This window comes from Homo sapiens, chromosome 14 (genome assembly GCF_000001405.40).
Source record: "Homo sapiens chromosome 14, GRCh38.p14 Primary Assembly".
NCBI classification, from domain to species: domain Eukaryota; kingdom Metazoa; phylum Chordata; class Mammalia; order Primates; family Hominidae; genus Homo; species Homo sapiens.
Genome location: NC_000014.9, coordinates 100,054,448 through 100,077,303, shown reverse-complemented (window position 1 = coordinate 100,077,303; position 22,856 = coordinate 100,054,448). Strand labels below are relative to the sequence as shown.

Genomic DNA, 22,856 nt, shown 5'->3' with positions numbered 1-22,856 from the left:
CCCAATGGCCATCTGTTCTATTTCTTAAACATCTTTTGGATCTGGCCCTTTCTCTCCCTCCTTGCTGCCAGTCCCAGCCCTTGTTATTTATTTTAGACCACAGCCTCCTAGCTGTTCCCCCGCCTCTGGTTGAAGTCTCACACCCCCAACCCTTCAATTGCAATGTCACCAGAGAGACCTTCCTCAAAGGCAAACTGACTGAGCCTCTTCCCTCATTGGGAGCTCTGCCACTTACCAGCTATATGACCTCATACAAAACTTCTGTGTTCCCCAGTTTATCTATCTATAGCTTATCCTCCTTTATCTACCCATATCTTTCCTCTTTCCTCATCTTCTTTATAGGGTTGTCTGGAGAATTAAGACTTAACATGTGTAAGCACTTGGAGCAGCACCTGACCCCATGTGGCATGAGGAAGGGAGTCATCGTTATTACGCAATATAATCCCAGCTCTGGGGCAGGCAACTCAGGGGCCTTCACATTGTAGCCCTTGCCAAAGTGTCCACAGCCGACCCAACCCTTGGCTTAGTCTTGTGGAAATGCACACAGGCCCCTAACACTCCACCCCCCGCACTCTGTGGCCTCTGCTGTGGCTCAGGCCACTTCCTCTGCCTGGGATACTTTTCTCAGCCGAGCCGAGCTGACCCAAGCCGACCCACTAATTTGTACTCATCCATAAAGACTTGGAATATCTGTTACCTCTTTTAGAAAATCTTCCCTGAAGCCCCAGGCTGAGTTAGATGGTCCTTCTCTGAGCCTTATTATCCCTATTATCATGGTCCTGTGCCTACCATCACAGCACTTACTGCAGCAATGTCTATGCTAGGTCCCTCTGCACACCACTGAACGCCTCCAGGGCAGGGGCCATTTCTTTTAGGCAGACTTCTCCCTATGTAGAGTGAGGACTTAGGCCACAGTTCTCTTCCTATCTGTTGCCCTCTAGAGGTCCAAGACCACAGTGTAGATGACTCTGCTGGTCCCAGGGAACTTCCCTTCTTGCTCTGCTGGACCTGAGGCTGCCCACAAACGGCCCAGCACATTTCAGCGAGGAAGGACCCGTCTGATCACATAGCCCAACCAGCAGCCTGGTGGTAAAGCCAGGAATGGCAGCGAAAGCATCCCCATGACATTGGGCCAATTAAGATGTCTTTTCTGCTACTCCTCAAGTAATTAGGAAGAGATATTTCTCCTGCCCAAGATGATTTCTTTTTCCTACATCCAGAGGTTTGAATCTTACCTTTTCTCAAAGCTCACATTGTCATTGCTTTCAAAACACACCTATCCACCCATTCCCATTCATTTAATAACTACTAACAGGCATATGGCTCAGCTCTGAAGGAGATTACAATCTATCAAGAAAAACAGATCACTGCAAAATGGGTGTATGAGAATGGGAAGGGAGAACATCAGGCTTTGTAGGAGGAGTTATTGTCTGTAAACCGGAGCTGATAAAAATAGCATGGTCTACTTCTATGGTGATTAACAGGCAAGACATGAGGGTGACCAGTACCATGCTGGGTACATTCCTTACGCTCAGTAGGTATATGTCTCTGCCCCCCAAACCCCACCCCAAGGTGCCACGTGCCTCTGATTACTTTCAAGCCGTCAGGACAGCCACTTCAAACTATCTTCTTCCTGAGACTGTGGGCTTCTGGAGAACAGGCCCATGTCTGAGTTCAGATACCCTTCCTCAGTGAGCCATCGTCCTCAGTGTAGCCTGGTGCCTCTGGCCCGGGCTCTGCAGCTGCCAAGTGTGTTAATAAGGGGTGAGTAGTGAAGGGTCGGGGGCTAGAGAGAAGTGGCCATAAATAAATGTTCCCAAAGCTAGGCAGAAACACAGCCAGACTGAGGCAGTTTGTAAAGTCCTGACTTGTTTACCTTCAACATACAAGCAACAAAAGTGAATCTTAAAAGCTGGGCTGAGAACCATCAGTAAGGAGCCTCCTGGATGGGAGCGGAGCAGCCCACACTGAGGTGCTCACACAGACCTGTCTGGGCACTCCAGTGCAGAGCAGAGCTGGGGTCTACCCACAGAGCCCCAAGACAAGGCCCGGCACACAGGAGGAGACAGGGGCTTTCTCCTTTGCCAAATTCCAGTCTCTCTCTGAAGCACATCACTTGCTAGTTCAGAAGAGCCCCTGCAGCCATGCAGCTTGGCTCTGGTAACATAGGTGACATCTTCACCTGACTTCACACAATGCTCAAACCACCATCACGAGGTCATTATCACATTTATTCCCACTTCTCATTGTGTGGCTCCCCCAAGTCACACAGGGAGTCAAGTCAGAGACACTGCTGGACAGGACCCTGCCTCCTGCCATCTGGAGGCCTCTCCTTCCAGCTCTCGGAGAACTCTCTCACACTATGAACTCCCCTCTGCCCACAGGCAGCCCCACCCTGTCTCCCCTCAGCCTGCCCCAGCCTCGCCATTCTGCTCTTGCCACAGACTTCTTGCCCTCCTTCTTGCCCTCCTCGCCTCCTGTGTGAAACTTCTCCCTTGGCTGCCATGACACCGCATGGCTTGGCTCTTCTCTGGACTGCCCCTTTTCTGACCACTGTCTTTCCCAAGGTGGAGAGGGGCAGACAGAGAGAGAGTACTTTAGAGAAAGTCTGGCTGGCTGGTGCCCACCAGGAAGCAGTGCTGTGCTGGGAAGCAAGGCTGGGTACAGAGAGTTAAGGCCAGCCCTCACCATGGAGTCAGCGCGGGGAAGTGAGAACACTGTGGACAACAGCTCCAGCTCTGCCCCAGGTCTGGCTCTATTGTTTGCCAGCAACAAGACTTCAGGGAGGTAAGTTTACAGCTCTGTAAAACAAGTAGAATCATCTTTTTGCATTTTCTTTTACCTTTGCTGGAGATCAAATAAGGCTGATGAAATAAACAGGAGAGCAGTTTACTAAACATGATTAGCACCCAGCAGATACTATCTTGAAAAAGGACAATGTTGGCTGGAATGAACAGCAAATCCATATGAGGCAAGACTTAGGGTGGAATCTACATGAAACTGCCTTCCGTGTCCACATGGAGAGCTGTCATTATCACCTACTACTCTTTTAACTTCTAACGAGAAAAACAAGGTGGCAGGTTCCTCACTGTGGCCTGGAGAATTGCCTCAGGCCTCACCAAGTGGGAGCAGGCTGTCGGGTCCTGTCTGTGGAATGGCCCAGATCAACTGTGGAGGTCACTGAGGGCCCGCTCCTGAGCCCTGGCTGTTGGGAAATCAGTTTCCGGGCCCTGATTTGCTCCTGTGCTTTCCTCTAGCCTCTACTCACACTGCTCCCCGACCCCCCGCCCCCACCGCCCCCGGGGGTGACTCCCTGAACCCACTGAAGAGAATGCTAATGCACACCCTCGGGCCCCTGCCGCTCCCCTCAGCTGCTTAGCTTTTCTGCAGAACACTTACCATACTTGCCACTGAACTGAGGGGCAAGTGCCTCCATGAGGCAGGTTGTTTGGTTTGGTTTTTAAAGTAGTGTTCATCTCGGTAGCTCTAGTAACTGGGCCCTAGTGGTTTCTCAACAAATATCTTTGAATAACTGCTGGCTTTTATGTTTGCTGAGTTTTGCCAGGTATTGTATTTCTCAGCCTCCACGGATTTTTGTGGTGGGGGTGGCATGACTTACTTGAGATCTGGCCACCTCTGCTTTCTCTTTCTTTCTTCCTGCATTTATTTGAAAAATAAAACAAGGGCCGGGCACAGTGGCTCACACCTGTAATCCCAGCACTTTGGGAGGCCAAGGTGGGAGGACAGCTTGAGCCCAGGAGTTCGAGACCAGCCTGGGCAACACAGATCCTGTCTCTACACAAAATAAAAAAGTGTTAGCCACGCATGGTGGTGGGTGCCTGTAGCCCCAGCTGCTCAGAAGCCTGAGGTGGAAGGATCCCTTGAGCTGAGGAGGTTAAGGTTGCAGTGAACCGTGTTTGCACCACTGCACTCCATCCTGGGTGACAGAGCAAGACCCTGTCTCCCCAAAAAAAAAAAAAAAAGAAAAAGGAAAAAGTGCTGTACGTGCAAAGTGTCACAAGAGGAGGGCATTTAGTTCTGCCCAGGGGACCCAAGGGATGTTGTCATGAAGGGGAAGCAAGACTTTTCAAGAGGAAACAAAGAACCATTTCAAGCAGAGGGAAGAGTGTCAGCAAAGGCAGAGTGGTGGGTGGGGGGACCTCAGTCATCACCCTGGGGCCTCATCACTTCTCAACACCTACCCAGGTGAATGAGGAAGCACACCCACGTTGCCATGTCCCAATTCAGTGACCGAGAAACAGAGACGCTTGAAATCACAGCCGCATCAGAACTGAAAAACATTCTGCAGTGATTTTCTTAGGAAACACGCCTGGAGAGGGAAGTAACCTGCCCAACGCCCATGGCTGATCCGCGGCAGAGCCTGGACTAGACAGCAACCTGACGCTCCGCCGTGCAGTAAGGCTCTTCTGCTCCACCTGGCGACGCAGCAAAACCCAGCTCCAACTTTTACTTCCTGCTTTGAAGCTGTTTTTCACTCCAACTTTTTAATCTGAAAAATTTCAAACCTACAGGAACATGTAAGGGACACTCTTTTACCTTTCACTAAACCTGCCCATGGTTAACATTTGCCACATGTGAGTTATCTCTGTCTTTCCCCTGAGCCATTTGAAAGTCAGCTGCAGATACCATGATACTTCAGTCCTAGGGACCTGAGCATACATTTCTTTAATATAAGGATATTCTAATATATAACTTAAATACCATTGTTACAACAAAGAAAATCAACACTTTACTAAAAATCTAATACAGAGTCCATACTAAAACTTACCCATGTAATCCCAGCACTTTGGGAGGCCAAAGCAGGTGGATCACCTGAGATCAGGAGTTCGAGATCAGCCTGGCCAACATAGTGAAACCCCATCTCTACTAAAAATACAAAAATTAGCCAGGTGTAGTGGCGCATGCCTGTAGTCCCAGCTACTCGGGAGGCTGAGGCAGGAGAACTGCTTGAACCCAGGAGGCACAGGGAGGTGTAGGATGCACTGAGCGGAGATAGCTCCAATGCACTCCAGCCTGAGCGACAGAGGGAGACTCCGATGCAACAACAACAAAAAAGTTACCCAATTTTTACAAAATGTTTCTGATTTTTTGGGATGTAGGATCTGCTCATGGATTACATTTGATCGAGCCGTCTGCTTACTCCCTTTCAAGCTAAGCTAGGATGTGAAACTATTTAAAAATTTTTCATTGATAAAGATGTTGTGTGTGTGAAGAATTCAGGCCAACTGAATGTAGACTGTAGGTTGGTTAAGAGGTGACTGCCAGATCTCCAATGGAAAGCTATATTTTCCCCTTAGTAATTATTAAATCATTTATAGGGTGCCATTTTTTTTTCTTAATGGGCACAGGTGTGAAACAGGTTTCATGCTATGAAGTAGACTTAAAATGTTTATTGTGAAGTACTTCAGGCCTGTGAGAAGTAGGTTCCCACGATCCCACCACACAGTCTAGGAAATCTGACAGCAAGTCATAAAGCTGTTTAGTTCAAGTGACGCCTGCATCCTCCTCCCAGACCCAGAGCCCCTCCTCTCTACCAGGGGGAACCGCCACCTTGCAGGTGGTATTTTCAATTCCATGCTTGCTGTCTGTAGTGCAGCCATACAACTGACTATTTTACACACATAGTTCTCAAACTTTTTTGGTCAAGAGAACCCCTTTACACTCAATTATTGAGGATGCCAAAAAGCTTCTGTTTTATGTAGGTTAAGTCTATCCATATTCACCTTATTTGAAATTAAAACTAATAATTTTTTAAAACACAAGAATATACAAGCAGACATTTCATTAGCTGCCACAGTGATGATGTCAAAACATCACATAGCTCTGGAAAATTCCACCATGAATTCATGAGACAAGAGCTGAAATGGCAAATGATGTCTTAGTAATATTATAAATACAGTTCTGATCTACAGACTCCTAGGAGGGTCAATCTCTGGAGTACATTTTGAGAACTGCTGCATTACAGCAATGAAAGACAATGAATTAGCTCTCTGCATATTAACATGGGAAACCCAAATGGTGACTGAGCCCCATTTTTGAGAGTGTTAGAATTAAAGAAAGGCTTTGGGTAAATAAAGTCTACATTCAGTGTTAAACCCTGACACCTTCTTTTCTATCCAAATTGGTTGCCCACATCATGGGCAATCAAGACGTTTGCCTTTTCTCCTTGGATGTCACCCTCTCAGATGCCTGGACAGCTGGTCTCCATTACTCTGTGAAGTCTGGTGCAATCTGGAAAAACACTCCAACCAACTGTTGGGGGAGTCTGACATTCCTAGACTGACCCTGTCTCATATGCATCTCCCATACTCTTTCAAGGCCACCGGCGTAGCCCTTTCTTTGGGGAGCCATCTGACAGCCACGTGGACGTTAAGGCTACTCAAACCTCAAAAACATTTATATATTTTGCTCTGTGTCTTCATCTCAAAATTTGTGTCCCCAGAGTCTGTGACTCTGATCACTTGTGAAGTGGAACAGGTTTTAGCACAGCCTTGGGACAACTGTAGAGGCCTGGCTTGGGCCAAGGATTGGGACAGTATGTTCAGCTCCAAGGATGAATCAACAGCCTGGGAATGAAGACCCCGGCTCTGCCCTTACAAACACCCCTGAAGACACAAGTAGCCACTTGGACTCTGTGCTATTTACTAGGCACAGGGACAAACATGAATGCATAACACAAGCGTCCTGCTCTGAAAGAGCTCTAGGCTGGTAGGAGAGATCCTGAGCCGACAGAGCATCGACAAGAGATACGCACGCAGGCACGGGGTGCTACAGGACAGACGAGGTCTCTTTTGTCTCTTGTGGTATTAACAGCACAGAATGACGGAGACTGCAAAATAGAGATCAGGAGGGCCTCGATTCTACCCTTGACTCTGCAAATTGGGACAAGTTTAGCTTTGAGAAGTTAAAGCTGAGAGGGCAGATTTTGATCCTCTCAGAGATCAAAAGCTCCGTCAAGTGACAACAATGTGACCTGGAATACGATACTTTGTAGGCCCTTGTTTTCTTTTCTTTTTGAGGTAGGGTCTTGCTCTGTCACCAGGGTGGAGTGCAGTAGTGTGATCACAGCTCACTGCAGGCTTGAACTGCTGGGCTCAAGCAATCCTCCCACCTCAGCCTCCTGAGAAGTTGGGACTATAGGCTTCAGGCATGCACTATCACATCTGGCTAATTTTCATTTTTTAATTTTATTTTCTTTCTTTCTTTTTTTTTTTTTTTTTAAGAGAGGAGGTCTTACTATGATGCCTAGGCTGGTCTTGAACTCCTCAGCTCAGGTGATCTACCTGCGTTGGCCTCTCAAAGTGTTGGGATTACAGGAGTGAGCCACCATACCCGGCCAACCCTTGTTTTCTTATCTGTAAAGTGGCAATAGTGATACCAGACCTCAAAGGATGAGAATTAAATAGTATGTATATCATGTAACTAGCGTAATGGTTGGTGTATAACACTGAGAAAAGCTGAGCTGTTGTTATTTTCCTCCTCTGTGGGTTCAGTTACCAAAGCAAAGCCATTGGACTACACTAGTTCTCATCCATTTTCTGCCCCAGCCCACCTGAGTATCGTAACATTCTCATGAGAATAACCTAGAATCTCCAGAGGAATGTTTCTCAACTAGAGGCACATGGGATTCTTTGAGACAGAGGAAGGCAGAGAAGCTTCAGAAGCTCTCCAAATGATTTGGCTACAGGTCTCTAGGGAAGTGCGGGTTCCCATGGAGAGTGAACGGACTACGTGATCTCTGAGGGCTTGTTCAATTGCCTCTGGGACTCTCTGACTTGCCCGTGAGGACTGGAAATACCTGTGAGAAAGGAAACACCAGGTGTTCCTGGAGACTCCTCCAAACCCTCACACAAAGGCGTACAATTAGGTGCGAAGGATTGTAAGCTGAACCCCGGCTGTGCGAGACTTCTTATATCTTTACAGCTTCAAGATGTGCAGCACAGTGGAATAAACAGTAATGACTGTGCCCAAGCAGCCACAGCTCCTTCACTACCTGACAGCAAGTGAAATGTCTGTTTTTCTGGTCTCTTCTCTAACATGCCACACCAGGAAGCTCCACTGAGTAGCAACTTTGGTAGCACAGGAATCTTTAGGACCATATATCAAAGTAGTTAATTAAATCCAGCAGTTCAATAAATGTGTATTGCCAGGCAATGTTTTAGGCACTGGGGATACACCACTGAACAAAATAGGCGAAAATCCCTGCCTTCTGGGAGTTTACATTCTTGAGGGGTAAAGACAGTATACAGTAGAACAAGTAAGTTCTATAATACGTTAGAAGATAGTACGTGCTTCGGAAAAACCCACAGCCTACCAAAGACAACAGAGAGACCAGGGAAGGAAACGAAATTAACTGGCTGGCCCCAAAAGTGGCAGACATATCACACATCCATATCACGTTTCCTGCTGCTGCACCGCGACCTCAGCTACTTCCTGCTCAGGTCAGCCTTGTTCAACCCACATTTCCTGGGAACCTGTGCTGCTAGGCCCACACCTCTACAGATTCTTCCAGCTAGCACCCCAGCTGCCCCAGCGTGGTGAAAGGAATCACCACCCACCTAAGCCATGTCTGACTCATGTTTCCCCCACGCCCATGTGTGATCCACCAGATAGTCCTGGAGGCTACAGCACCACGGCACTTCCTGAATCTGGTGACTTCTCACCGCCTACCCTGACTGCTCCACTGCTGGCCCAAACCACCCTCACCTCTTACCTGGATGACTGCGGTAGCCTCCCAAGAGGTCATCCTGCCTCCATTCTTGCCACACTGCCAGCCATTATCCACACAGGGCCCAGAGTGATTTTCTTAAGCTTCTATGAGATGTCTTTCCCTTTGCTTCAAACCCTCCCTCCAAAGGCTTCCCCTAACTAAATTCTGACATACGCGCTAAATTCAGCACAGCTCGCAGGCTTTGCCGTTGGGCCTGATAAAGCCTTCTGTGCCCTTATTTGCCTTCACTCTTCCTTCTTCATGTTGCTCCAGCCTCTGTATTTTTCTTGACCCTTGAACCCACCAAACCATTCCTATCTCAGGGCCTCGTCCCCAGCTGAGGATACTTGCTGCCCTTTCCACCCCAAAACCTTCAGATTTTAGCATGGCTGCCTCATGTCCCCACATGTCCCCTAAGGCGTGGCCCAGTCACTCTCTACCACACTGCTCTATTGTTTTCACGTCTCTTGTTGATGGTTTCTTGACTATATTCTGCCTCCCGACTCTGCCCTCAGTTTGAGGACAAGACTGCCTGTCTTGTTTACCACTGTGTCCCTAGCACCCAGAGCAGCCGCTGGGTGACTGGTTGCCTGTGATGCCTGCCAGTGCCTTCTAAAAAATCATCCCTATTCTTCAAAGTTCACCTGAGATCCCACTTTCTCTTTGAGGTCTTCCCTGACAGTCCCCAACTTCTCAACTCTTACTGCCCCTCCTGTCTATGCTTATTACTCTCTGTGCTGCAGGGTCCTCACAGCCAGTCGCCTCCTCATTTCTGTGAGTGCTGTCTTCCTCACTCCCTACCAGTCCCTGAGGACAGAGGCAGCTCTAATTCAGGCGTAAGAGCAAAAGGGCAAAGCATCTGTGGTCAGGAGGCACAGGTTCAAGTCCTGGGTCTATCACTCACTGGCTATGTCTCTTGTCAAGTTACTCTCTCCTGTGAAACAGAAACAATAAAAACAATGCTAGCTGGGTGTGGTGGCCCACACCTGTAGTCCCGCTGAGGCAGGAGGCTTGCTCGAGCCCGGGAGTTTGAGGCCAGCCTGGGCAATAAAGCAAGACCTCATCTCTAAAAAATACAAAAACAAAAACGCCCCACAACACTACCTTCAGGATTATTGCGATAACTAAATAACGTCAGTGAAAGCATTCTGTACGTTGTCATGCACTCAAGAGAATTCCCAGCTCCTAATCCAGTCAGGGCTTGGAAACTGTTTCTTGATTGGTGGGTAGCCAGAGCTAGAGCTGGTAAGATATATTTTCACATTTAAAAGGTCCTTTGTATCCCCACCACAGGCGCCACGGTATCCCCATGTGTCAGTCAGCATGAGGAAAAACGAAAAGTTCACAGCTCCTATGGCTGCTGACCTTGCAGCTCCACGAACGCTGCTTCCACCAGGACTGTCACTATGGTGCCAGGCCAGGGACCTGTGGCAGAGTGCAAGCAGCCTTGTACGGGGGAGGGACGCACCAGAAAACCTGGGCTTTTGCTTTGGTTCAGCCACTACTCCGCTCCCCGTACACAAATTCTGCTCCACACTGGGCCTCAATTTCCTGATCTGCGCACTCAAGAGCTGGGCTAGATTAGTGTAATCTTCAGACTTGAAAGTCATCACCACCACCAACAATGACTGTTTTTTCTCAATGAATTATCAAGGAATACATAGAAAACATAAAAGCAGAGTTATTTTGGCTGAAGTGGAGAATAAGGTGCCCAAAACATCTTATCTACTGTAGATCACCTCCAAGGTCTTTTCAAGATGGAAATTTCTAGGATTTCTACGATTTTAAAATTGAAAAAGAAATTGCTGTGCCTCATTTACTTTTGATATAATTTTCTGCAATTAGTAATTGACACGGTAGAATAAGCTGCTAGAAGTTTTCACAATGTAATTTACAACTGAAAATGACTTTGGAAGTTGATATGCCTTTGAAATGAAAAGCATTCTGTTTTCTAAAGCTCCACTCACGAGTCCTCTAAAGTTAAAGGAAAGTTACTAAAATGACAGGATCAGAAATAAAGCCAACTGGAAAATAAGCAGCCCTGGACAAGTTCTACCTATCACCACGTCAATTTTAACAACTCACTGCAAGCTGCTTCTGTGCCTGTGTAGCGTGCTGCGAAAACCACCGGATGAGGCCAACCTCGTTAAACCCTGGTTCCATTCCTTCCCCAACCTGCCATGTGACCTTGGACAAACCCCACAACTTTTCAGAGGTTTTCTCAGCTACGAAACAGGAGTGATGACAGCGTTCTCATCAATCTAACACGGCTAAAAGATTCAAATAAGAAAACTGGCGAAATGGCACTTTGGAAATTGTGAAATAATTTTCAAAGTGAGGGATTGTTACTTTATGCTAAAAAACAAAGCTGTCATGAGTCAATCAAACAAATGCCCCAAACCCCACAGGATAAAAGTCTGTCTGTCCTATCATCTATAATCTTTCAGAGTTGTAGGGCAGGGGAGAGGCAGGTCCAAAATGTAATCTCACCTTTAGAGAGAACAATCTCAATGAGGAGTGCGGTTTGTAGACTGGCTGGTATTCACACATGTGCTCAACAGCAATAGCCTAAGTCCACAAGTCTCTCAAGTGGAGGGTCAGGACTCTTGCTATTAAGTTCATGAAGTTCCTATCATAAAAAGAACCCTCTCTGCCTATATTTAGAAAAAACAACCAGTCTCGGGTCATTCTAGAGAGAAGGGCCAGGACTCACCAAATGTACCTCTGAGCTAAACAACAATTCCCCTAGATGGCTCAGACCCTCCTCCCTATAATGAGAGGCAGGTGCTAATTTCTAAGTAAGTCCTTGACTCAGAAGCCATTAAAGGTCACAGGCATCAAGAGACACAGGCCTGTGTAATGGAAAGACCAGCGGCTAGAGAGGGAGCAGACTGTCACTAACCTGCTGTGTAACCTCATGTAAGCCCCCTGCCCTCTGGTCATGGACTTCTCGATCAGTATACTAAGGGGACCTGAGATAATTTCTACAGCCCATTCACCGTTAAGATTCTAGGTTTCCTCTTGACATCCCTCTGTCCCCTGCACTGGTTCCAATACTCACCTTGTGGCCATGGCTGAAAAGTGGCAGCACAGGGAACCCTGAGGAGGCGAGTCCTGTACTCCCACCAGCCTATGTTGATCAGAGGACCACAGACCCTCTGAAGACAGCAACTTGATTTTTATAGCCTACTTAAAACCAAACAGGAAAAGGAAGCTGAACCAGAGACAAAGGGGAAACAAACCCAAGTGAAAAACTGAAACCTAGGTAGAAAATAGAGAAACAAGAAGCTAACACTGCAGAGCCCCACCAGCGTGGGCGGCTGAGAGGCACTGCACAGGCCCAACCCCCCACAGCTGGCAACCTCAAGCCTCTAAGTGCTTCCTGCAAGGGTGCAAGGGTGGGTGAAGCCTGCTGGAGGTAGGGGCCAGGTCATGGTGCTGGCCCCCCACTAACTAGCTCTATAGTCTAAGTCAATGCCACTTAAGATGTCTGAGCTTCAGTTTTCCATCTGTTATAGAAAGTGCAGGCTCAGCACAGATGACTTCCTATAGGCCTTAAGAAAAGGCTACAAGAACTCGGAAGAGTCCCCACTGACTCTCCAGAGAATAGAAGACTAGATGATAAAGGCTATAAGCTGATCAAGTCTTTTTTTCTTTTTTGAGACAGAGTTTCACACTCCTGTCACCCAGGCTGGAGTGCAATGGCACGATCTTGGCTCACCGCCACCACAGCTTCCTGGGTTCAAGCGATTCTCCTGCCTCAGCCTCCTGAGTAGCTGGGATTATAGGCATGTGCCACCATGCCCAGCTAATTTTGTATTTTTAGTAGAGACGGGGTTTCTCCATGTTGGTCAGGCTGGTCACGAACTCCCGACCTCAGGTGATCCGCCTGCCTTGGCCTCCCAAAGTGCTGAGATTACAGGCGTGAGCCACCGCGCCAGGCCACTGATCAAGTCTTCATATTTGACTCTGGAACAAAATTTGTACTTCTACCGAGGAGACAACTCTCTCTAATGATGACATTTAAGTCAGCAATTTAGAGCCTGAAAGGAAAACACTTGAGGAATACTGGAAACTTGGCTTTGTCACTTGTTTATTAAGTGGGTGGCCTCAACTGTAAAATGGGGTTATACTTATTTTGCCTATCTCCACAGGGTTCTCATGAAGGTAAGATCCAGTCCAATCTTTCTTTCAAAATCTACTGAGAACTCACTAAGAAGCATGCACTGTGTTAGAAATCACAGACAAAAAATTGAGAACGACTGTACTTGTCCTTAAAGGACTTTTATGGTTTAGAAAAGAAGAGGTTGATAATGTTAGCAAATATTTAATAGATCCATTAAAATATTATTGATATAGTGAAAAACAGCTGTACAGAGTACAGTACAAAAGAAGTATCAGTTCTAATTGGAGAGATGAATGCACTTTGAATGCTAAAAATGCATTTTAAAAGGCTTTTAATGATATACATTTCCCTTTAAGCACTGTTTTAGTTGCAAACCACAGTTTGGATGTATTGCAGTTTTCTTTTTTCTTTTGGTTCAAAATATTTTTAATTTTCTCTAGTGATTTCTTCTTTTATCCATGGATTATTGATAAGTGCTTCGTTAAATTTTGAAATATTTGGTGTTTTCCTATATCTGTTGCTACCTATTTCCAATTTAATTCTACTGGGGCCAGAGAACATATTTGGTGTGACTTCTTCCTTTGTTTTTCCTGGTATGATCTCAATCCTTTCACATTTATCAAAATGTGCGTTATGGCCCAGCATGCAGTCTACCTTGGCGGATGTAGCATATGCACAAGGAAAGAATGTGTATTCTGAAACTGGTCGGGTGCAGTGTTCTAGAATGTCAATTAGGTCATGGTGGTTAATAGTATTGTTCAGAACGTCTACGTCCTTGTTACTTTTTGTTGCTGTTGTTTGTTTTTGTCTAATTATTCTATCAACTGCTGAGGGAAAGGTCCTGAAATCTTCAACTGTGACTGTGGATTTCCCTCTTTAATTCTGTCACTATTTCTTGAAGCTCTTGTTAGGTACATTTTTCCATGCAGCATTGGTTTTCTGCGGCTGCTGTAACAAATTACCACAAACTGAGTGGCTTATAACAACACACACTTATTATCTTAGAGTTTTGTAAGATGATAGGAGGTCAGAAGCCCAACATCATCAGAAGTTCCACATAGGTCTCTCTTGCTCACCTCTCTCAGCTTCTGGACACTGACTGCATTGCTTTCTCATAGCCCCTCTGTCCACTTTCAAAGCACGCAGCAGTGCTCCGACCCTTCTTCCACAGTGACATCTCTTTCTGACCGCGGTGTGGACAGGTTCTCTACTTTTAAGGACTCGTGTGATTAGACTGGACCCAATGGATAATCCAAGATAACCGCTCCATCTCAAGGTCCACAACTTTAATCACGTCTGCAGAGTCCTTTTTGCCATGTAAGGTAACATTTTATTTATTTACTTTTTTAGAGGCAGGGTCTCTTGCTGTCACCCAGGCTGAAATGCAGTGGTGTGATCATAGTTCACTGCAGCCTCAAACTCCTGGCTCAAGTGATCCTCCTTACCTCAGCTTCCTGAGTAGTTAGGACTATAGGCACACACCATCATGCCTGGCTAATTTGAAAACAGTTTTTTAAATAGAGATGGGGTCTTGCTATGTTTCCGAGGCTGATCTCAAACTCCTGGCCTCAAGTGATCCTCCTGCCTTGGCCCCCAAAGTGCTAGGATTACAGGCATGAGTCACCATGCCCATCCCATGTAAAGTCACACAGTCACAGGTTCTAGGGATTACGGCGGGGTGATGGCATTACTCTGCCTACTACCCATCCTTTCACTTTCAGTCGATTTGTATCTTTGTATTTAAAGTATGTCCTATAGGTAGTGTATGACTGAGTCTTGCATTTTCACCCAGTCTGACAATTTCTATCTTTTAATTGGGGTATTTAGTCTATTTACATTTAGTTTATTGATGTAGATGGATACAGGTCTACTACTTTGCTATTTGTTTTCTGTTTGTCTCATCTGTTTCTGGTTCCTCTGTTCTTCGTTTCCTGTATTCTTGTGGGTAAACTAAATACTTTTCAGAATTCCATTTGAATTTCTCTATTGACTTTTTAGCTATACCTCTTTTTTTTTTAGAGGTCTTTCTAGGGATTACAATATACATTCTTAACTTTGTAGGGTACACTTAGAGTTAATATTGTACCACTTCAGTAAAATGTTAAGAACTTCATAATTGCATAATTTCATTCTCCATTCCCATCCTTTATGGTGTAGCTGTCATATGTTACTCAAAATACAATGTTACATATTTTTGTTTTGGACAGTCATATATATATATATACATATATATATATATACACACAGCTGACTCTTGAACAGCACAGGTTTGACCTTCACAGGTCCATTATACTACTATTTCTTTTTTTGAGATGTGGTCTCACTCTGTTGCGTAGGCCGGCGTACAGTGGTATGATTACAGCTCACTGCAGCCTCAACTTCCTGGGCTCAAGCAATCCTCCCATCTCAGCCTCCCAAAGTGCTAGGACTACAGGCATGAGCTACCACCATGCCTGACCCAGGTCCACTTGCACATGGAATTTCTTTTACCTCTGCCACCCCGAGACAGCAAGACCAACCCCTCCTTTTCCTCTTGCTCCTCAGCCTATTCAATGTGAAGATGACAAGGATGAAGAACTTTAAGATAATCCATTTCCAATTAATGACTAGTGAAACTAATGAAAACATATTTTCACCTATGATTTTAATAAAATTTTTTCTCTAGCTTAATTATAAGAATACAGTGTATAATACACATAATATACAAAGTATGTATTAACCAACTGCTTATGTTATTGGTAGGGCTTCCTGTCAACAACAGGCTCTTAATAGCTAAAATTTTGGGGGATGCAAAAGTTTAGGTGGATTTTCAACTGTTCGAGGGGCCAGTACCCTAACCCCGGGATTGTTCAAGTCATGTGCGTGTGTGCGTGTATTGAAGAAATAAAAGTCTTTAGGTTTACTCATATATTTCTCTTTTCTGGTAATCTTTATCCATCCCCGAGCACTTGAATTTCCTGGTATCTTTTTTTTTTTTTTTTTTTTTGCAGCCTGAGGAACTTCCTTTAGCATTTCTTTTTTTTTTTTTTTTTTTTTTTTTTTTGAGACAGGGTCTTGCTCTGTCACCCAAGCTGGGTGATCTCAGCTCACTGCAACCTCTGCCTCCCAGGCTCAAATGATCCTCCTGCCTCAGCCTTCTGAGTAGCTGGGACTAAGGACATGTGCCACCATGTCTGGTGTATTTTTGTATTTTTTGTATTTTGTAATTTTTGTATTTTTTGTAGAGAAGGGTTTCAACATGTTGCCCTGGCTGGTCTCAAACTCCTGGTCTCAAGGGATCCGTCCACCTCAGCCTCCGAAAGGGCTGGGATTACAGGCGTGAGCCACCATGCCTGGCCTCCTTTAGGATTTTCTGTACAACAGGTAAGTTGGCAATACATTCTCTTAGTTTTCTTTTATCTGAAAAACATCTTTGTCTTCAAGCTTCAAAGCACTTTTTGTGAATAGAGAATACTGAGGTTTTTTTTTTTTTTTTGTCTTTCAGCACTTTAAAGGTATTGTTTCATTGTCTTCTGGCCTCCATGGTTTCTGAGAAGTCAGCCATCATTCACATATAATGTATGCAATGGATCCCTTTTCCTTTGGTCATTTTTAATATTTTCTTTTTCTTTCGTTTTCAGCAGTGTGACTTTGATGGGTTTAGGTGTGGTTCTTTTTGCATTCATTTTGCTAGGGTTTCACTGAGATTCTTAGGTATGTAATTTAAGGCTTTTCACCAAATTTGGGAAATTCTGGTCATTATTTCCTCAATTATTTTTCTTCTGCCTCATTCTCTTTCTCCTCTTCCTCTGGCACTCCAATTACACGTATGTAGACCTCCTGATATTATCACAAGGCACTGGTAATTCTTTTTAAAATATTTTCCCATTTTTCAGATTAGATATCTATTGATCTGTCTCCAAGTCCACTACCCTTTCTTCTGGATCTCTGATCCACTTTTAGTCTCATCCAGTAAATTTTTCATTTCATTTCCAGTAGTAGAATTTTCACTGGGCAAGTTTTTTTTTTTTTTTTTTGAGACGGAGTCTCGCTCTGTCGCCCAGGCTGGAGTGCAGTGGCGCGATCTCGGCTCACTGCAAGCTCCGCCTCCCGGGTTCACGCCATTCTCCTGCCTCAGCCTCCCGCGTAGCTGGGACTACAGGCGCCCGCCACCACGCCCGGCTAATTTTTTGTATTTTTTAGTAGAGACGGGGTTTCACTGTGTTAGCCAGGATGGTCTCGATCTCCTGACCTCGTGATCCGCCCGCCTCGGCCTCCCAAAGTGCTGGGATTACAGGCGTGAGCCACCGCGCCCGGCACTGGGCAAGTTTTTTATAATTTCCATTTCTCCTTTGGGATTTCCTGTTTGTTCACTTTATCCACCTTTTACTTAAAGTCTGTGAACATATTTATTATGGGTAATTTGAAGAACTTGCCTGCTCGTTTCAACTTCAGGAGCATTTCAGGGTCTACTGACTGCTTTTTTCCCCTTAAGTATATGTCATATTTTCTGACTCTATATGTCTACTAACTTATGATTGTATGTTAGATACTGTATGATACATTGCAGAAAGTCTGGATTATGCTATCTTTCTTTAAAGATGTGAAGTCTGTTCTGGTAGTCAGGGAAATTACTGGCAGATCCTTTTGGTGCTACCAAGCTTGGTTCAAACCTTTCTTCAGTTCTATTTCCATTTTGAACTTAGCCCTAGGGTATCCCCCTCCTCTGCAACCACCCCCCCATCTGACTCAAGAGCACAGTCCTACTCCTAAAGTGTGACAGTTCTGGGATCTCAACTGAATGCCTGAGGTGTTCTGGGCGGTTTCTTCATTCAGGTTAAGCCGGATCTGCAACATCTCCCAGAACTGAATGACCTCTGGCATCATCATTCAGCTCTCAGCCCTACAGCAGGCGATCTCTGCCAGGCCTCATGAAGAATCTCACTCTGTACATGCACACCCAGCCCTCAGCCAACAATCCAAATAGAATCCTTACACAGAACTCTGCTGTCTTTGCCCTGTCACAGGGCTTCCATTTCTCTAGTTCCTTGCCCTGCAAAGTCCAACTATTTCAGTGGCGTAGAATTCTAATTTCTGCCCACTGAGCTGACTAAAATCACCTTTCCATTTGGGCTCCACCACTCCATGCCAAGACTAGATAGTGACTGCAGGCAGAAAGCCAGGGGCTTCTCATGGTGTTTCTTCTCTCAAGAATCAAAGTCCTATCTTATCTGTCCAATGTCTGAAAATGGCAGGGATTTAATATCTTCTATGAGTCTCAGTACCCTTTGTATATTCAGTTGCTTCACATATTTTACACAGTTTCATAGTTGCTTTTGTCAAGAGAGCAAGTCATTACCATTATTCTGCCATGGCCAGAGGCAGAAGTCAAATATGATTATTAAACTACCAAAGGGTATTCTTTTTCATTTTCTGAAGATGCTAGCCTAAGAGTAAACATCTTTTCTGTGAGAAGTGCCTTTCAGTTTCACCCCTCATTTCCTCTGTCCTTCACACGTTACTACTGTCTTTTATCAGTTTCACTAGGTAGGTAACAGGTAAGAGTGAACCTTTTGGCACTCCAATTACACGTACGTAGATAAAATAGAGTACTATTTTAACTCTATCATCTAGCTTTAATGAAGCACTTGAGAAGAATTATGAAAAGAAGCAAAAAATGTGGCAAGCTTTCTGAGTAGGGTGCTATGAGATAGGGATTCCAACCCTTGCTTTGTTATTGACATGCTGTATGTTCCTGGGCATTCAGGTCTCTACTTTGACCCTGGTGTCTCCAGGTCCGATGAAAAAAAAAATGATCTTATAAATAACCATGTACTGCAGGAGTGGTACCAATTCCTAAATCGTTCATGTCAGGGCAATAGAAAATGTTGGAAAGATAGAATAGGAACTGTTGGCACTTGTGACGCAATTTAGTGAGCAAGTTAAGAAACGTATCCTGTTTGAGGTAGCATCTTATAATGTGAAACCATGAATTGCGCTCAGCACCTGGTATACTGCTTAGGTAGTAGGTACAGTGTAAGTGGTGATCATATGAATAACTATGCATAGATGAATACATGAATGAATGAATGAATGAGGAAGACGGGCATCAACACTCACACAGGATACTGATATTAAATCCTAAGGCATTTGGCTTTGGATTTTGAAAACAGTAAATGCTCAATAAACAACAACTGTGTTGACTTGAATTAAAAGATGTGCTTTCCATGTGTCCAGACTCCAAGAGAAGGCAGAGTGGGCTGAAAATAAATCACAGAGCTATACTAGAAGACACTCTACTTAGGAGATCTAGTTCAAAAACTTGCTGTGGTGACTTGGGAAAGTCAACTTTCTTCTGTGGATTTTAGTTTTCTTTTCTGTAAACAGACTAACCTCACTTCTCTTTCTTTCTCATTGGGATGTTTGTGAATGAAAGGGTCTTTCACTAACAAGAAATGAATTATGTTTGTATAATAATGACATTTCATGAGAATTTGTGTTAAGAAGGCAGGGTGTTTTGAGTACAAAGCCCTTGTGTCCTGGGAGTAGAGAAAAGGAGGACAGAGAAATGGCTACCCAAAATTAGTTACAGTCTCTAACACATTATGAAATCCTATTAACAATGCTGCATTAGGCTTTTTAAATATAATATTTTATATGTGCTATCATTATTTGACTCCTAGAACCTCAACTATGGCTCCAAAAACCAAAATGGAAATTGGATCTGCCAGAGATTCTGGTATTCTCAACCACTTTGCCTGAGAGACATTTCTTTAAAAAGTTTACACTAAAATAGCTCAGCCAGCCACAAGACGCTAAAAGTTGCCTTTTCCTTTCCAGTTCACTCACAGTTCAGTTCCAGCTCTTGCTGATAGGGCCTGCCTAAGCCTGCCTGCTCTGTGAAGTCCAACTGTTTCTTATACCAGAGGGAAGACATGAAGAACAACAAACTCAGATTAAAAAAAAAACAAACTCCAAATCATTTTTCTGATGATCTGAGACTTGTCCTCAGAAAATGTTTTATTTCCAGAGTTACAGCATCTGGAAAGAAAGTGTGAATGGCCAAATAAAGAAACCCCGATGTCAGCTGAGCAGTCTCTTAGGGGGACTGTAATATGGCTCTTCACCGATATCTGTGACCTTAGACTTCCGTGGACTTGGTGTTCATGAGGACACTATGCTACATATAATCTTTCTCCATATACATCTTTCATCATATAAAGGGAGAAGTAAAGGGGAAAGGTAAAAATCCCACCACTGGACTCCTGGGAGTGGGAAATCTAGTTTCTAGCACATGCCCTGGTGGTTCAGGCTCCTGTGCCTTGTAAACACAGTTGTCCTCACCTCCTGAAACAACCTCTTACCCCATCTACAGGCAAACTTGGGTTTGTCCTTCAAGATCCAATTTGCCTGTATCTTCTTTAATGAAGTGTTTACTGAGCCCCCAGGATAGAGAAAATTATTCCTGCTGCTGTGCTACTTCTGTATTTTGAAATTTTATCTATTTAGTGGTCACAGAGCATTACCCTTTAGGAAGGGACTATCATTTTTTATTCATCTTTTATAATCAATTGTGGGCAGCCCAATTCTTGGTACATGGTGTGTGTTCAGAATCTTTGTTAAGCTATTTTGCCTGAAAGGACTGGGACTCAAGAAGTGCACAAATTACTAGTGATATGAAAAGGGGACAGATAGGGCCTCGTTTTTTCAAGCTTAGAGTTTGCTGAGTCTAGCCTCCAATATCAGGCCACCCTGCCCTGAGGTACTCCCTTCCAACCACACTCCTGGTTAAACTCATCCGCAGCAGAAGTAGACCACATGTGCTAGCCAAGGCAACTGAATATTCTACGGACATCATTACTAATTTCCAGGAGGAAATTATAACATCTCTGAGAAATGCAAGTAGCATAAAAGAAAAACTTAAAAGACAGATAACAAATGAAGCAACCTCTACCATGGGAAACAGAATTTAAAAATCCAATAGGTATAATAAATGTCTTTGGAGACACAAGGGAAGATACTTAAAACATTAAGTGAGAGTAAGCCATAAGGAAGAACAACCAAGCAATTTTTTTTTTAGTATAAAAATATAATTGCTGAAATAGAGAACTCAGTAAGTATGCTCAGCAGAAGAGGCAAAGATGAGAAACTTAGAATAGGGTCAAAGAGTTGACCCAAAAACATCAGGTAGGGAAAAAGGGACAGGGACTACAGAAGTAAAAGGCATCTCAGAAGCAAAAAAAAAATTAAAAAAAAGATGAAATGACAGATAATTTTATAGAATTCAAGAAAGATGTAAGAGCTCAAGACTGAAAGGGTCAACAGCGTTCCAAACAGAACTGATACGAAAACAACGTGGGCCAGGCGCGGTGGCTCACGCCTGTAATCCCAGCACTTTGGGAGGCCGAGGTGGGCGGATCGTGAGGTCAGGAGTTCGAGACCAGCCCGGCCAACATGGTGAAACCTTGTCTCTACTAAAAATACAAAAATTAGCAGGGTGTGGTGGCATGCACCTGTAATCCCAGCTACTCGGGATGCTGAGACAGGAGAATGGCTTGAACCCAGGAGGCAGAGGTTGTGGTGAGCCGAGATCGAGCCATTGCACTCCAGTCTGGTGACAGAGCAAGACTCCGTCTCCAAAAGAAAAAGAGAAAGAAAAAGAAAAAAGAAAAAAGACAACAACGTAAGTGTGCACATGCACACATACAGACACAAACACTGATTACGATATCTAAGTACAGCAGAGACAGACAATTCTAAAAGCTTTCCACATAAAACCAAGTCACCTACAAAGGAACAAAAATCAGACCAGACTTCTACACCTCAGCTAGGGTAAAACAATGAGATATTATCTTCAGAATGCTGGAGAAAACAAATTTTTGAACCTTACTTTTCAGTCTATACCAATCTAAACTATCATATACATGTAAGGAAGAAAGAAATATATTTTTAGGTATACAAGATTTCAGAAAGTTTTCCAGATACAGACCTTCTTTGGAAAAATGTTACTGTATATATTCTAGCAAAAAGAAAATTTGCTCCTAGGAATAAATAGCAGGGTATGGCAAGTGGGAGCATCCAACTGAATACTTTTAAGCCATGAAGAGGGAATGAGGTACTGACACATGGTACAATAGACAGAACTTAGAAAACATTATGCGCAGAGAAAAAGGCAAGACACGAAAGGCCACATATTATATGATTACATTTATATGATACTCAGAATAGGCAGATTTAAAGAGAGAGGACACAGATTTTTTTTTTTTTTTTTAAGGAGTCTCACCCTTGTCGCCCAGGCTGGAGTGCAATGGTGCGATCTCAGCTCACGGCAACCTCCCCCTCCCAGGTTCAAGCAATTCTCCTGCCTCGGCCTCCCAAGTAGCTAGGATTACAGGCATGCACCACAATGCCCAGCTAATTCGTATTTTCAGTAGAGACGGGGTTTCACCATTTTGGTCAGGCTGGTCTTGACTCCTGACCTCAGGTGATCTGCCCACCTTGGCCTCCCAAAGTGCTGGGATTACAGACATGAGCCACCATGCCCGGCCAGGACACAGATTAGTGGTTGTCACAGGCTGGTTGACAGGGGATGTGTGCCTGGGTGTTAATTTATAAAGGTCACTGAGAATGACACAAAGAGGTCAGTGCCATTGAAAGAAAAGTTTAATGTCATTCACAGTTCCCCCACAAAATAAGAGGCACAGCACAACATGCAGGGCCACGGGGGAAGCACCAGAGTCAATAAGGGGACAGGAGCCAGGGGAAGGCACAGGCCACAGCCCTTACTGGGGCTTCCACAGAGAAGGCAAGGCAGGCACGATAAATGGCTTAGAAAAAGCTATACCTGAATAATTCTAGCAGGCTTTGGGGCCTAGGAGGTGTCCCTAGTTGTCTGGGACCTGGTTCTGGGTTGATTTAGAGCAGGGGAAATATTGGCTTGGTGTGTGCGCATCAGATAAAGGAAGTGGCTGGGGTATGGACTCAGAATTGGTTGGTTTGTATACGAAAGACAGATTCACC

The 22,856-nt window shown here is 44.6% G+C and overlaps 1 protein-coding gene and 1 long non-coding RNA gene across 11 annotated transcripts in view, besides 13 other annotated features; one reads left to right on the top strand and one right to left on the bottom strand.

Annotated features, from left to right (window-relative positions):
* The window catches only part of EVL (Enah/Vasp-like), a 172,815-nt gene that overhangs the window by 66,933 nt on the left and 83,026 nt on the right, over positions 1-22,856 (bottom strand). For 3 of the 10 annotated variants that reach the window (XR_007064014.1, NM_016337.3, XM_047431463.1), the window contains exon 1: positions 11,793-11,882. The exons of 6 other annotated variants lie outside the window; for them this stretch is intronic. Coding sequence is in view for 2 of the 4 variants with exons in the window: in NM_016337.3 (NP_057421.1) it covers positions 11,793-11,803 (11 nt within the window). In the remaining 2 variants the exon portion in view is untranslated. Of the gene's footprint in view, positions 1-10,816; positions 11,883-22,856 lie in introns of those variants that run through there. One more of the 10 variants, XM_047431460.1, reaches the window with a different exon arrangement.
* Positions 4,169-4,458: an enhancer, noted in NCBI's record as "active region_9022". NCBI's record gives its function as "activates an Ori minimal core promoter by ATAC-STARR-seq in GM12878 lymphoblastoid cells {active_cell/tissue: GM12878}" and the evidence as "EXISTENCE:reporter gene assay evidence [ECO:0000049][PMID:35858748]".
* Positions 4,469-4,618: an enhancer, noted in NCBI's record as "active region_9021". NCBI's record gives its function as "activates an Ori minimal core promoter by ATAC-STARR-seq in GM12878 lymphoblastoid cells {active_cell/tissue: GM12878}" and the evidence as "EXISTENCE:reporter gene assay evidence [ECO:0000049][PMID:35858748]".
* Positions 7,732-8,931: an enhancer, noted in NCBI's record as "MED14-independent group 3 enhancer chr14:100534710-100535909 (GRCh37/hg19 assembly coordinates)". NCBI's record gives its function as "activates an origin of replication core promoter dependent on BRD2, BRD4, P300/CBP and CDK7 cofactors, and independent of MED14, by STARR-seq in HCT116 cells {active_cell/tissue: HCT116}" and the evidence as "EXISTENCE:reporter gene assay evidence [ECO:0000049][PMID:35650434]".
* Positions 8,077-8,126: an enhancer, noted in NCBI's record as "active region_9020". NCBI's record gives its function as "activates an Ori minimal core promoter by ATAC-STARR-seq in GM12878 lymphoblastoid cells {active_cell/tissue: GM12878}" and the evidence as "EXISTENCE:reporter gene assay evidence [ECO:0000049][PMID:35858748]".
* Positions 8,287-8,376: an enhancer, noted in NCBI's record as "active region_9019". NCBI's record gives its function as "activates an Ori minimal core promoter by ATAC-STARR-seq in GM12878 lymphoblastoid cells {active_cell/tissue: GM12878}" and the evidence as "EXISTENCE:reporter gene assay evidence [ECO:0000049][PMID:35858748]".
* Positions 8,458-8,752: an enhancer, noted in NCBI's record as "tiled region #4628; K562 Activating DNase matched - State 5:Enh, and HepG2 Activating non-DNase unmatched - State 10:DNaseD". NCBI's record gives its function as "activates a minimal TATA promoter and a strong SV40 promoter by Sharpr-MPRA in K562 cells, with weak activation in HepG2 cells {active_cell/tissue: HepG2 | K562}" and the evidence as "EXISTENCE:reporter gene assay evidence [ECO:0000049][PMID:27701403]".
* Positions 9,507-9,576: an enhancer, noted in NCBI's record as "active region_9018". NCBI's record gives its function as "activates an Ori minimal core promoter by ATAC-STARR-seq in GM12878 lymphoblastoid cells {active_cell/tissue: GM12878}" and the evidence as "EXISTENCE:reporter gene assay evidence [ECO:0000049][PMID:35858748]".
* Positions 11,009-11,078: an enhancer, noted in NCBI's record as "active region_9017". NCBI's record gives its function as "activates an Ori minimal core promoter by ATAC-STARR-seq in GM12878 lymphoblastoid cells {active_cell/tissue: GM12878}" and the evidence as "EXISTENCE:reporter gene assay evidence [ECO:0000049][PMID:35858748]".
* Positions 11,139-11,218: an enhancer, noted in NCBI's record as "active region_9016". NCBI's record gives its function as "activates an Ori minimal core promoter by ATAC-STARR-seq in GM12878 lymphoblastoid cells {active_cell/tissue: GM12878}" and the evidence as "EXISTENCE:reporter gene assay evidence [ECO:0000049][PMID:35858748]".
* Positions 11,599-11,738: an enhancer, noted in NCBI's record as "active region_9015". NCBI's record gives its function as "activates an Ori minimal core promoter by ATAC-STARR-seq in GM12878 lymphoblastoid cells {active_cell/tissue: GM12878}" and the evidence as "EXISTENCE:reporter gene assay evidence [ECO:0000049][PMID:35858748]".
* Positions 11,789-11,868: an enhancer, noted in NCBI's record as "active region_9014". NCBI's record gives its function as "activates an Ori minimal core promoter by ATAC-STARR-seq in GM12878 lymphoblastoid cells {active_cell/tissue: GM12878}" and the evidence as "EXISTENCE:reporter gene assay evidence [ECO:0000049][PMID:35858748]".
* Positions 11,919-12,008: an enhancer, noted in NCBI's record as "active region_9013". NCBI's record gives its function as "activates an Ori minimal core promoter by ATAC-STARR-seq in GM12878 lymphoblastoid cells {active_cell/tissue: GM12878}" and the evidence as "EXISTENCE:reporter gene assay evidence [ECO:0000049][PMID:35858748]".
* Positions 12,359-12,408: an enhancer, noted in NCBI's record as "active region_9012". NCBI's record gives its function as "activates an Ori minimal core promoter by ATAC-STARR-seq in GM12878 lymphoblastoid cells {active_cell/tissue: GM12878}" and the evidence as "EXISTENCE:reporter gene assay evidence [ECO:0000049][PMID:35858748]".
* The window catches only part of LOC124903379 (uncharacterized), a 32,650-nt gene continuing 23,053 nt past the window's right edge, over positions 13,260-22,856 (top strand). Inside the window, exon 1 of the long non-coding RNA XR_007064329.1 lies at positions 13,260-14,174. This is a non-coding gene — a long non-coding RNA (uncharacterized LOC124903379). The remainder of the gene's footprint in view (positions 14,175-22,856) is intronic.